Genomic DNA, 13,660 nt, shown 5'->3' with positions numbered 1-13,660 from the left:
GACTCTGTCTCCAATAAAAAAAAAAGAAAGAAATTGGGTCCTGATATGTCAATAAATGTAAGTATTAAGTATGTTAACTAATGGTGGAGATGCAGATATTATTTAAATATTATATGACATTTGCAGTTGAAAGAACTAGAAGAAGAATGGGTCAAACTGCCAACAAGTGCTCCTAGACCTACTCGATTTCTTCGTTCCCAACAAGAACTAGAAGCTAAATTGGAACAACAACAGTCTGCTGGTGGAGATGCTGAAGGAGGTAAGCCAATTTTAAACACCGGTTTCTGCAAAAATTAGCAAGAACTGGCACTGCCATGAGAATCTGTGTTCATTAGGCATATTTTGTAGGATTGCCTTTAATAAAATATAAGTTGCATGTAGCTTTAATAACTCTGGTCCCTTCTCTATTAAAATTTCATCAGGGTTGTGAAAGGACTGATAACTGATAAGTAAAACAATTCTAAGCATTTTTAAGGTTTGTGTTGTTTTTCTCCTTAAAGGTGGTGATGATGGTGATGAGGTGCCACAAATAGATGCTTATGAGCTTTTAGAAGCTGTAGAAATCCTTTCCAAACTTCCCAAAGACTTTTATGACAAAATTGTAAGTAATAGTTAAACTTCTTTCATTTATTTCTTGTAAAATAATTACTTGAATAGAATTAGAATACTCTGCTGAGCCCTTGCCTGATGCACCCCCTTCCATCCCATATCTTCCCTAGTAGAGTGAGTTAGTTGCTTCTTCCTCTTTGCTCCCACACTACTTTGTACATATATATATTATAGCACTTTTTTAAAACATGTCTTGCCATAAAACCAGAACATTCTTGACTTCCTTTTTCTAATTTTCTCTCTGGTTTTTAACACTAAAGAGCTCCGGATTCCTCCCCTTTCTCCGTTTCTACTGCCACTACTTTACCCCAAGGTTTCTTGACCTTAGCACTGTTGACATTTTTTGTCAGCTGTCCTGTGCATTGTATGATGTTTAGCAGCATCTTTGGCTTTTATCCACTAGATGTCAGTAATACCATCTCCCTAAGTCATGACAATCAAAAATGTCTTGAAACATTGCCGGAAGTTCCCTAGGAGACAAAATCATCCCCAGTTGAGAAACACAGTCTTATCCCAACCACCACTGTAGTAGTGGGTTGTTGGTTATGTGATTGTTCTTTTCTGGTCTTTTTAATGTTGTCAGTGTAGAAATTCCTCTCCTGTAATTGTGCTGCTGTGAGATGGGTGGGCTAGAAATGCTTTCTATTAATGTTTTCTGTTTGACATCTGCTTACTAACGTTTGCCTAGAAAATGAGAATGAAACGTCTATGGCATTGTTTGTTTATTATATTACTTTAGTTATAACATCTTATGAAAATACTTTTTATATATGAACAAAAATTTATATATATGAACAAAATGTTCTGATTGCCTCCACAGTTTTATTTTTTATTATTATTACTATTTTTTTGAGACGGAGTCTCGCTCTGTCGCCCAGGCTAGAGTGCAGTGGCGCGATCTTGGCTCACTGCAAGCTCCGCCTCCCGGGTTCATGCCATTCTCCTGCCTCAGCCTCCCGAGTAGCTGGGACTGCAGGTGCCTGCCACCACGCCCGGCTAATTTTTTGTATTTTTAGTAGAGACAGGGTTTCACCTTGTTAGTCAGGATGGTCTCGATCTCCTGACCTCATGATCTGCCCTCCTCGGCCTCCCAAAGTGCTGGGATTACAGGCGTGAGCCACTGCGCCCGGCCAGTTTTATAATTTTTTAAAAAAATTATGTATCTTTGAATTAGCAGAGTGCAATAAATAGACTTTTATTCCGCTCTCTTATTTCCTGTTACAAATGACTCATATTGTATCTTGCAGGAGGCAAAAAAATGGCAAGAGAGAAAAGAGGCCCTGGAGTCTGTAGAAGTACTAATAAAAAACCCCAAACTGGAAGCTGGCGATTATGCAGATTTAGTAAAAGCATTAAAGAAGGTAAATATGAGGACTTGCAGTACTGGTATTGTAACAGCCATCAGGCCTTTGAATTTCTCATCAGTCATCTTTTTAATTACACATACATTGCCACTTAAGGAACATTACTGATGGTATTTGAATTACAGACATACATTTTTAAAGGGTTGTTTTAAATTCCTGTTGTGGGTTAGTTTCATTTTCAATCTTTGTTTTTTGTCACTTTGACTTTAGGTATGCTATTTGATAGCTTCTGTAACTCTCTAGGAAAAGAGAGTTGCTGATCTAGAACTACATTTTCCAGTTTTATAATTCTATAGGATGAGCTATTTAAGTTAGCTGTATTTAATTGGACAAATATTAAACATGAAGATAGCAAATGATAACACACTACTTTGTATCAGTATGTAAAGAGTATACGAATATGAGGTCAGTTCTGAAACAGACAAGTACTAAGTAAGAGATAAACATTTTTAGGAAATAATCTTTTGGTATTGCAAGTTGAATGCTGCTGGTGGACATTTTGTATGTAGTAACTTTTTATGAAAACTGTAAGTATAGATCAAACACTGTGGATATGATTATAGTGCTTAAGAACAAACTCTGAAAACATCTTCATGAATATAGCAAGAATGAAAATTTTGTTTTGTTTGCTTCCTCAGTCTGAAATTACAGAGGATTACAATGGTGAGGGGAGGAAGTTGATTTTTAATTATACGCACACCTAAGTCATTACTTGTAGTAGTTATATTCTGTAAAGCCACTGCGAACACTAAATTAGTGAATATTGAATCATTGCTTCTAAGAGAAATACAGGGTTAGGATCCTGCAACCCTTTGGTCACAACATTTCCATCAATCAGTACATAACTTTGTTTTATTCTGTTTGGAGATAGCATATTTAATATATGTTGTTGATTCATTAACATTGAACTCTTGGCCGACAACACTGTAACTCTTGCCTGATTGAAGCTTTTCCTAACGCATATATTTTCTCCCTAAGGTACATCACAGCCTGTTTGCACTTAGGAATACTAGACAGCATTTCAGCACTACACTTAGGGGCCATTTTAAACAACAAGAGCACCAACAAAAAACACAAAAATGCAAAAACATGGCACTGAATAAACCATGAAAAAGACACTTGTTTATAGTGTAAAAGCTAAAGCAAGAAGGTAGAGTGTTATCTTGTCTACCTCAGCTGGGAATGTGCACAATAGACAACACAAAATGTTCACAGCTCTGAACTTGTCTGTAAATGACCAGGAAAGTACCATGAGTGTTGATTTGGGGATTATAAGCAAGTTTTAGCAAGTAGGTGAATTTGCAAATATGGATTCGTGAATGATGAGGATCAACTATATTCTAGTAGTTAACCTTCCTAGGCTTTCCTTCAGTGGGACTTGGAGGCAGAGATATGATTTGTGAAATCTTTGTTCAGTCATCAATTTTCCATCTTGAAGAGTTACACTCGTGTAAAATAAATTAAAAGAGAGTTGCCCTAGGGGAAAAAGAGTTTTACCAACCTGGAACCTGGGAGGAAAGAATGGGAAGGGGAATAGTAGAGGGCACTGAGACAAGGAAAGTCAGGTTCCAGTGGCATATGAAGAGAGCTACAGATTCTCTGTCAATTCTTCCAGCATTTGGTTATTAATTAGAAATCTTATTGCTCTGGTGCTGAATTCTCGATGTGTCAAAGAAAACCTTTTCTTTTTCCTTATCATTAATATTATGTGTTTTCTACATGTATTTTCTAAGGATATTAGCTTCTCACACAAAGACAGTTCTGTGGTTTCCATTGGCATTGTGAATGTAAATATAATCTCTTGCTGTACTATATAAAGAGAGAGCATCATGGATTTTATATTTGAGTAGACAGACAATAGATTTCTGAGAGATCTAGGGTAGCAGTAGAAACTTCTTTCCCTTTTCACGTGGTGGGGTGGAGGGAATCAGAGACCACAAACAAGTAAAAAGAAACTGAATTTTGTGGCTAAAATATTTAAAACAATGAAAAGTTAACTTCAGTTGTAAAAATTAACCTGAAACGACATTTTCTTTTCTTTTTGCCTTAAGTAGTGACAGAGACATTTTATTTTTTTTATTTTCTTTTTTGAGATGGAGTTTCGTTATTGTTGCCCAGGCTGGAGTGCAGTGGCACGATCTCGGCTCACTGCAACCTCTGCCTCCCGTGTTCAAGTGATTCTTCTGCCTCAGCCTCCCAAATAGCTGGGATTTATAGGCACTTGCCATCACACCCAGCTAATTTTTGTGTTTTTAGTAGAGACGGGGTTTCACCATGTTGGCCAGGCTAGTCTCGAACTCCTGACCTCAGGTGATCTACCCTCCTTGGCCTCCCAAAGTGCTGGGATTACAGGCATGAGCCACGGTGCCCAGCTGACATTTTATTTTTTGTATTTGATTTTAGTTATATGTACACACAAACTTTGTATTATGTTGACTTCCTAGAAACATAACAAAAGTGGGGAAATGGTGAAATGGAAAAAAGTGGGGAAATGGTGAAATGGAAAAAAGAGGATGAGATTGAAGAATAGATTACAGACCAATCCTTTTTCCCTCCTTATAATTATCTCTTCTTTGTATTGTATAAATCAAGTAATCCCATTAATTTCTCAATTTTTTTCCTTTAATGAAAGTAGTAAAAAGGCATTAACTTTAAAATTTCTTATGATATTCCTGAAATTATTTTTAAACTGTTTTGAGTTGTCACCTGATTTAGCATATTCTGTGGGCTTTCCTGTTCTCACAGATTATAGTTCTTTTTTTTCTATTATTTTTAATTGATGTATTTATTTTTGAGACAGAGTTGCGCTTTGTCACCCAGGCTGGAGTGCAGTGGCACGATCTCAGCTCACTGCAACCTCCATCTCCCGAGTTCAAGCGATTCTCCTGCCTCAGCCGCCTGAGTAGCTGGGATTACAGGCGCGTGCCACCATGCCCGGCTAATTTTTTTTTTTTTTAATTTTTAGTAGAGACAGGGTTTCATCATGTTGGTCTTGAACTCCTGTCCTCAAGTGATTTGCCTGCCTCAGCCTCTGAAAGTGCTGGGATTACAGGCGTGAGCCACTGCGCCTGGCCTATAGTTCTTTTATTTATAAGATGCCTCCCTCCCAGCTCATCGCTTCTTTGATTTTGTCATGTGCCTATGCCTATGGACATTTGATTTTTTATATATATATAATTTATTTATCTTTACATTAAGATTTGGATTTTCGAAGTGCTTTCTTATATAATCTTTAGACTTCTATGTGGTATTAATCTTTTTTCACTTGTTCTTTCTACTTTTCCCCCCTTAATTATTGCTTGTTTTCATCATAGTTTTCTAAACACAGTAATTCATAATGGGTTTCATTAATTTGTTTCCTTTCCTCTGTCAACGGTGTGCTTTAGTTATTATTAACTAGTGGCTTTAATTTCTAGTTAAAGATAAATACCAATTGATAATTACTTTAAAGCACTTTGTTTTAATACTGTAGGCCTCAATTTATGAGAAAAGTGACAGCACTTAAAACTGTACAAGATTTCCTATTGTTTAAATTATATTGAGATTATGAGCTAAAGCTTCCATTCCCTGGTCTAGAACAGAAATTACTGAAAAGACAGAAGTCATTGTTTTTCTTACCTCTGAAATGGAGTCCCCCCTCATATGTTACTTTTCTTAAAAATAAACACTTCTCCATCTTCCCTACTCTCATTTCCCTGTTGAGAATAACTTGTTTATGGGAATAAACAATGAGTGTCAATGAGTGTGACAGGCAGGTATTATATTAGGGTATCTGGTCCATTGCTCACTTATAAGTTTATTTGAGCCTTTGCAATCTTGAAATTTAACAGATTCGCAGTATCTTCTTCAATACTATACAATAAGATCATGAGTGTCTAGAGTCTAGCTCCCACTGGTTACTGTTCCAACAATGGATAGGGAGAGGTATTCTCCTAAGAAAGGAATAGAATGATAGTTTTTTAACTGAGCCCATATGACAAAATCACCCTTTGAGCCATTTAAAAATACTGATGTCCAAATTTCATCCCAGATTCATTGAACTAGAATTTGTTGGAATGGGATCTTACATGTTTTTGATGTCCATTCCTAGAATATATATTTAGATGCTAAATATAAAGCCTAGCATCTAAATCATATCTGAGAGGTATTTTGATAAGGAAAAATAATCAGAACATTTATAAATACCAATAGTGATTTCAATACAGAAATGAATGGAAAATTTTTTTCTTCATAGACTTACAGTAATTAGAGATTTAACAAAATGTTTATTAGGACCCTGATCTCATCCTCTCGTAAGGAAAAGTGAACTTAACACAAGTTGAGAGGGAGAACATGCTTTACTTAATAAAAGGAGCAAAAACTTTGGAGTCAGAATTGACCTGGGTTTGAATCACACAGCATTACCATTTGCTAACTACCTGACTGTAAGCACATTAATCTTTATTTAATTTTTAGAATCTGGCTGGGTACAGTAGGTCACATCTGTAATCCCAACACTTTGGGAGGCCGAGGCGGGCTGATTGCTTGAGCCCAGTAGTTTAAGACCAGACTGGGCAACATGAAGAAACTCTGTTTCTACAAAAAATAGAAACATTAGCAGGTGTGGTAGCATGTGCCTTTAGTCCCAGCCAGTCGGGAGGCTGAGGTGGGAAGATCGCTTGAACCTGGGAGGGGGAGGTTGCGGTGAGCTGAGATCAAGCCAGACTCTGTCTCAAAAAAAAAATCTTTTTGAAGTCTGCACTTTTTTGTTGTTTTTTTGTTTCTGAGATAGTGTCTCGCTCTGTCACCCAAGCTGGAGTGCAGTGGTATGATCTTGGCTCACTGCAACCTCCGCCTCCCAGGTTCAAGAGATTCTCCTACCTCAGCCTCCTGAGTACCTGGGACTACAGGCGCATGCCACCATGCCTGGCTAATTTTTCTATTTTTGGTAGAGACAGGGTTTCGCTATGTTGCCCAGGTTGGTCTTGAACTCCTGGGCTCAAGCGATCCTCCCACCTCAACCTCTTAAGGTCCTGAGGTTACAAGCGTGAACCACCATGCCTGGCTGTGAATCTGCAAAGTTGAAATAATAATAGTCCTTACCTCATAGGGTTTGGGTGAAAATTAAACTTAAAAAGGATTATAAAGTGCCTACAAAATTTTGGTGCCTAATTTGTTTTTTCAATAAATGTTAGTTTCTTTATCCTTATTCCTCAGCACTTAAGGAGTGCATATAAGTGCCAAGTAGAACTTCTTTCATGTTGCATGTTAGGAGTTGTTTAATGCAGAGAATCTAGAATAAAGCATTCTGCTTATGGAACACCACATTGTAGGGACTAGATAAAATTCAAAGTAGACTGGAGGCATTACTCTTACTGGGAAAAGAGTGAAAAAAGAAGAGTTGGGGGCATTTAAAAATAAAGCAGCCGTGTGTGTGTGTGCATTTATAAATAAAGCAGCCGTGTGTGTGTGTGTGTGTGTGTGTGTGTGTCTGTCTGTCTGTCTGTCTGTCTGTCTTGCTCTGGTACCCAGGCTGGAGTGCAGTGGTGCGATCTGCACTCACTGCAACCTCTGCCTCCCAGATTCAAGTGATCCTTTTGCCTCAGCCTCCCAAGTAGCTGGGACTACAGGCACACGTCACACTGCCTGTATTATTATATAATAAAGCAGCTTTTTAACACCAACTGATTGGGCAGTGTACCACAGTAAAATCTTACCAGGAAGGAACCCAGTCGTAGTCAGTATCTTGTTAAATTGACACAGATGCAGCTACTACCCGTGAGTTTAGATAAGTGCTGGGCTTTGTGGGTTGTGGCATAGGAGGGCAGTAATATAAGCAGTGCTAGAGGAGAATCGACTGAGACTCTGAATTGAAGCTTAACCATTATTAGATGACTGAAGTGGCAGCCTCAAGGCCAGAAGCTCCCTCAGAAGAATGGTTCTCAGAAGAATGCAGTAGCATTCACAATTTAGAGTCCCCATGGACTTCCTGAAGGTACCTGCAGCCGTTTGTACTGGTGCTTCTTGGTTATGAATATTAGAGCTGTTGCCCTGTGATGTCTTTCAGAGATACATTGCCTTTTCATTTTCCTTGTCCCAAAGCAAAGTCAGCAGACCTCTCGTCTCTCTGCCATTATCAGGGTCATTTCCTGCACAGTTGAACAGTGCTGACAGCCCAGACTGCCACTACTGGATAGTGAGCAATTTGATGTTGTGGTTTTATCTATGTTTTATTAGTAGAACTTTAAGATAGAAGACTAAACATAATGAAGGGAAGCTCCCAAATTCGATACAATGAAAGAAGAATTTCTCCTCTGTTGTAGTAAATAAAATTGGTCATATATTAGCATAAGAGCTTTCAGAGTTCTTTTTTTTTTTTGAGATGGAGTCTTGCTGCGTTGCCCAGGCTGGAGTGCAATGGTGCAATCTCGGCTCACTGCAGCCTCCGCCTCCCAGGTTCAAGTGATTCTCCTGCCTCAGCCTTCCAAATAGCTGGGATTACAGGTGCCTGCCACCATGCCTGCTTAATTTTTGTATTTTTAGTAGAGACAGGGTCTCACCATGTTGGTCAGGCTGATCTCAAACTCCTGACCTCAGGTGGTCCACCCACCTTGGCCTCCCAAAGTGCTGGGATTACAGGTGTGAGCCGCTGCACCCGGCCTCAGAGTTCTTTTGAGAATAAAATTTCAATACCCTTCTACATGGCTGTGACTATTTTGTTTTCCTTTTTACCCCCCTTTGTAGGTTGTTGGAAAGGACACCAATGTCATGTTGGTGGCTTTGGCAGCAAAATGTCTTACTGGCCTGGCTGTTGGGCTAAGGAAGAAATTTGGACAATATGCAGGACATGTAAGTAACACTCCTTTTTAGATACAGATCAACAAAATTTATCAAAAATGGTAGGCCTAGTTTGCTGTTTGCTTTAAAACAACTCCTTGGCATAGATGTGTATATACTGTACAAAGTAAATTTCTCTCTGTTTTGTTAATATTCAGCATAGATATATCTTAGAAATTTCAGTAGATGTCAGTTGTAACAAAATTTATAGGCCTTATGTAGAAAGTCAGGCACTAGGCCTAAAGTACTTAGTTGAGTTTATTTATTTGCTTATTACTTATTTACTTACTAGTATCTTGCTTTGTTCTTACAACATTATACACATCATAACAAGATGAAACAAAACTTGTAACGACCAGGACCAGAATGAAAATGAGAGTCGGAAAGGCAATGTAAAACTATAAATGTAAAACTGTGAGGTTAATATATAAAATGTGTTTTACATTGTTTTCCTATTTTAATATATAATTTACTTACATATTTGAGACATTTTATATAGGTTACAATGTTATATATTTTATATAGGTTATCTCCGTTTTACTTATTCAAAGAAAATCTGACTGGAGACATTTGTTGACTTACTATTTGTATAAGTTTGTTTCCAATCAAATTTGGTAATAATTTTAATTAAGATGTTTTCTTTAACTGTGGCATCTGTCCTTTGGCCTCTAAATCCGGTCTGCATTACTAAGAATGGCTCAGCATCCTAAAAATTGACCTTATTGATCTTTAGAGTTTAGCTTGCTAGCCCCTTCATCATTTGATTCCCTAGACTGACTTAGGAGTTTCCTAATAGTCCCTAGTCATGTGTCCATTTTATATTGTGAAGCTAATACCTAGCCTCACATGAGCTATGGTATTTGGAGCTTGCTTACTCATAGCATTAAAAATAATCTCAGAGAACTTAACTGAAGAAAAAGAAGACACTACCAAATAAAAATAAATCATGACTGGCTTATTACTAGGGAAATAAAAATAAGGGTCTGTAAAACCCTTAGACATATACATCATAAATTGAAATAAAATTAAAATCTATTTTTATAGCAATCAATATTATATAATATCGATGTGTATATGCCATTTTGATCAATTTTATATTACTTAGGATATTTTACACTTTTATATTGGGAATAATTTTTCAAGATAAAAAACAATTTTTTCCTACACCACTTAAATATCAGTTCAGAGAATAATTTTAGTTTTTTTTTTTTGAGACAGGGTCTCACTTTGTCACCCAGGCTGGAGTGCAGTGGCACCATCTCAGTTCACTGCAGCCTTAACCTCCTAGGCGCAGGTGATCCTCCCACCTCAGTCTCCTGAGTAGCTGGGACTTCAGGCACACCCCACACCATGCTTGAGTACTTTTTGTATTTTTGGTAGAGATGGGGTTTTGCCACCTTGCCCAGGCTGGTCTCGAAATCCTGAGCTCAAGCTATCTGCCTGCCTCAGCCTCCCAAAGTGCTGGGATTACAGGCTTGAGCCACCACACCCGGCCTAAAATTCATTTTAATTTACCAAATTATGGTTGGATAATTAACTGGCTTTCCAGTTTGAGTTCTGATTCTGGCTTTGTTTCAGTTTGTTGTCCTGGTTAAAGAATGTCTCTATTGCTCTGTAGTTTGGGGTCTCCCCCACCTTAATACTGTAATATATGCGGTGTTTAGTATCAAGCATGTTACTGACTTGGCTTTATTTTCTTTAAATGTTTACAAACTTTTTGGCAATATTTATAAAAGTGAATGTTAGCTTTATAGACATTAAAATATCTTGATTTTCAAGTTTATAACTAGTATTAAAAAGTCTTGTATTTTTCCATGGGAACCATAGTCCTTGAACTATACCAAGTAGTCTATAACCACTTCTGTGAAATCTTGAAAACAATTATTTCTTGTTTTTGGATGCCATTGAGCTTTGCTGTGTCCTTTGGACCTTAGAAATTTTCTTCCCCAGCCTGGGCAACATGGAGAAACCCCCGTCTCGACAAAAAATAAAATAAAAAATTATATTTACAGGGAAATGGTCAAGAAATTAAGAATTAAAAAAAAAAATAGCAGGTGTGGTGACATATACCTGAGGCCTACCTACTCGGGAGGCTGAGATGAGAGGATTACTTGAGCCCAGGAGGCCGAGGCTTCAGTGAGCCATGTTCATCCCACTGCACTCCCACGTGGGTGACAGAGCAGAGGCGGCAAATAGGTTGAGAAGCACTGCCATAGTGGGAGAGAATGAGAATTCTTCATTGTTCCGGCATAAGATACGATGTCCTTCATGAAAGGAAATGACTTTTTATTCCACTTAAATGTTTGCTTTATTGGTTTGTTTTGGTGGAGACAAGGTGGTTTTTTAGAAAGTAAGTTTTATTGAGATAAAACTTGCATACTATAAAATTTACCCTCTTAAAGTGATTTTAGAATATTCACAATGTTACATAACCATCAGCACTATCTAATTCCAGAACATCTTCATCACCCCAAAAAGAAACCCCTTGCCCATTAACAGTCTCTCCCCATGCTGCTCCCTGCCCTTGACTCTAGCAACCACTAATCTACTTTTTTGTCTCTGGATTTAACATTTCATGTAAATGGAGTCATACAATACATGGTCTTTGTGACTGCTTTTTTTTTTTTTTTGGAAGACAGGGTCTTGCTGTGTTGCCCAGGCTACAATACAGTGATGCAGTCGTAGCTCACTGCAGCTTTGACCTCCTGGGTTCAAGTAATCCTCCCACCTCAGCCTCCCAAGTAGCTGGGATCATAGGCACATACCACCACACCTGGCTAATTTTTTTTTGTTTGTTTTAGTAGAGACAAGATCTCACTCTGTTGCCCAGGCTGGTCTTGAACTCCTTGCCTCAAGCAACCCACCTGCCTCAGCCTCCCAAAGTGCTGGGATTACAGGCATGAGTCACTGTGCCCAGCCTGTGACTGGCTTTTTTTTTAACTTAGCATACTATTTTTAAGGTTCAGCCATGTTCTAGGATATATCAATATATCATTCCTCTTTGTTGCTGAATAATGTGCTAGCCATTCACTTTTACAGGTTGTGCCAACCATCTTGGAGAAATTCAAAGAGAAGAAACCTCAAGTGGTACAAGCCCTGCAGGAGGCAATTGATGCAATCTTCCTTACTGTAAGTTGACAGCATGAGTTTGTAGTTTTATCTGAAGTAAAGTTTGTAAATATAATATTTTGATTGTTCTTTACAATTGAAAAAAGCTCATTAACCACATTTTCTTTCTAAAGACCACACTACAGAACATCAGTGAGGATGTTTTAGCAGTAATGGATAATAAAAATCCAACCATCAAGCAGCAGACATCTCTTTTTATTGCAAGAAGTTTCCGCCACTGCACTGCTTCTACCCTGCCAAAGAGCTTGCTAAAGCCCTTTTGTGCTGCACTACTTAAGGTACAGACTCTCTTTGAAGTTGGGGGAATATTTTATACCTAGGCAAGATTCTTTTCCTGCAAATTATGTACAGTGACTACTTGACTTTCAGACTATAGAGGTTATGATCTTTTGAGGAGCAGAGCCTTTGCAGCTTGGAAACTGAATCCAAATTCTCCTGTGTTCCTCTTCTTGAAAGAAAGCACAAGTTAGTGTTATGATTCCATTAACTGTTAAACATGTTGTTTCTTACTTGTCCCATATACTGGTGTTCAGCTGAATCTGGCCAAGCATAGGCATCAAATGTGGAGTATTTGAAGATCATTTGGGAGTGAGTTATTTTAGATAGAGGGTAAGAGGAAAAGGAAATACTTATTTGCTAAATGGATTACCAAGGGTTTCCTTAACCCGAAAAATTTTTGTTTTTTTTTTTTTGTTGTTGTTGTTTTTGTTTTGTTTGAGATGGAGTTTAGCTCTGTTGCCCAGGCTGGAGTGCAGTGACACAATCTTGGCTCACTGCAGCCTCTGCCTCCTAGGCTCAAGCAATTCTCCTGCCTCAGCCTCCTGAGTAGCTGGGATTATAGGCATGTGCCACCACGCCCGGCTAGTTTTTGTATTTTAGTAGAGATGGGGTTTCACCATGTTTGCCAGACTGGTCTCGAACTTGGCCTCCCAAAGTGCTGGGATTACAGGCATGAACCACTGTGCCTGGCCCAAAAAGAATTTTTGAAAGAGTAACTGTCAATTGGCACAAGGAAAGCTATACTTAGTTCCAGTAAATTGTAAAAAGCAAATTCTTTATCTAGCAACCATCAGTCTGAATTAAAATGAGTAATGCCTAAAATACCTTGCATTAATATCATTTTGCTTACTTCTGGACTATAGCACATCAATGATTCTGCTCCTGAAGTCAGAGATGCCGCATTTGAAGCATTGGGTACTGCTTTGAAGGTGGTTGGCGAGAAAGCAGTAAACCCATTCCTAGCTGATGTGGACAAACTCAAGCTTGATAAGGTAGGTTAGTAATGGATTGGACTGAAATTGGACAACATTCCTGTCTCTTTGCATCATGGCTTTGTCTCTTGACAGTTATAGAGTACTGGTAGTTTTGATGAGGAGTTCTTGATTTTTTTTAAATTGCCATTTATAGTAGGAAAGAAATGCATAATTGAAACAAGTTTTGGAGGATGCTCTCTGGTACTTTTTGTCTTCAATTTTGTCTGTTGTTTTATTAAGAAAAAAATGCTGATATCACCTCAGGAAATTTATTTCATCCTCCACTGATAGTTCAGACCGAGTTTGAAAACTTAGCTTTTGAGAATTTAAGTTTCATTCCAGGCTATGATGGTGATAATTGTAGAAATAGCTTTCAAATTATAACCGAAAAAAAGCTGAGTGACCAATCTGTAGAGAAGGTGAAAACAGTTCTGTGAGATAAATTTATTTCTAAGGTCCAGAAAATTACCTTCTTATATGTGAATGTCT

The 13,660-nt window shown here is 38.0% G+C and overlaps 1 protein-coding gene across 2 annotated transcripts in view; it reads left to right on the top strand.

Moving 5' to 3' along the window:
- CKAP5 (cytoskeleton associated protein 5) overlaps nucleotides 1-13,660 on the top strand; it is a 103,233-nt gene that overhangs the window by 36,280 nt on the left and 53,293 nt on the right. For both annotated transcript variants that reach the window (NM_014756.4, NM_001008938.4), the window contains exons 6-12: nucleotides 127-259; nucleotides 501-601; nucleotides 1,857-1,970; nucleotides 8,697-8,801; nucleotides 11,829-11,918; nucleotides 12,032-12,196; nucleotides 13,061-13,189. In NM_014756.4, the coding sequence (NP_055571.2) occupies nucleotides 127-259; nucleotides 501-601; nucleotides 1,857-1,970; nucleotides 8,697-8,801; nucleotides 11,829-11,918; nucleotides 12,032-12,196; nucleotides 13,061-13,189 (837 nt within the window). The remainder of the gene's footprint in view (nucleotides 1-126; nucleotides 260-500; nucleotides 602-1,856; nucleotides 1,971-8,696; nucleotides 8,802-11,828; nucleotides 11,919-12,031; nucleotides 12,197-13,060; nucleotides 13,190-13,660) is intronic.

Source organism: Homo sapiens, chromosome 11, assembly GCF_000001405.40.
Source record: "Homo sapiens chromosome 11, GRCh38.p14 Primary Assembly".
Lineage (NCBI taxonomy): Eukaryota > Metazoa > Chordata > Mammalia > Primates > Hominidae > Homo > Homo sapiens.
The sequence above is the reverse complement of the archived record's forward strand: the minus strand, read 5'-3'. Positions and strand labels throughout refer to the sequence as shown.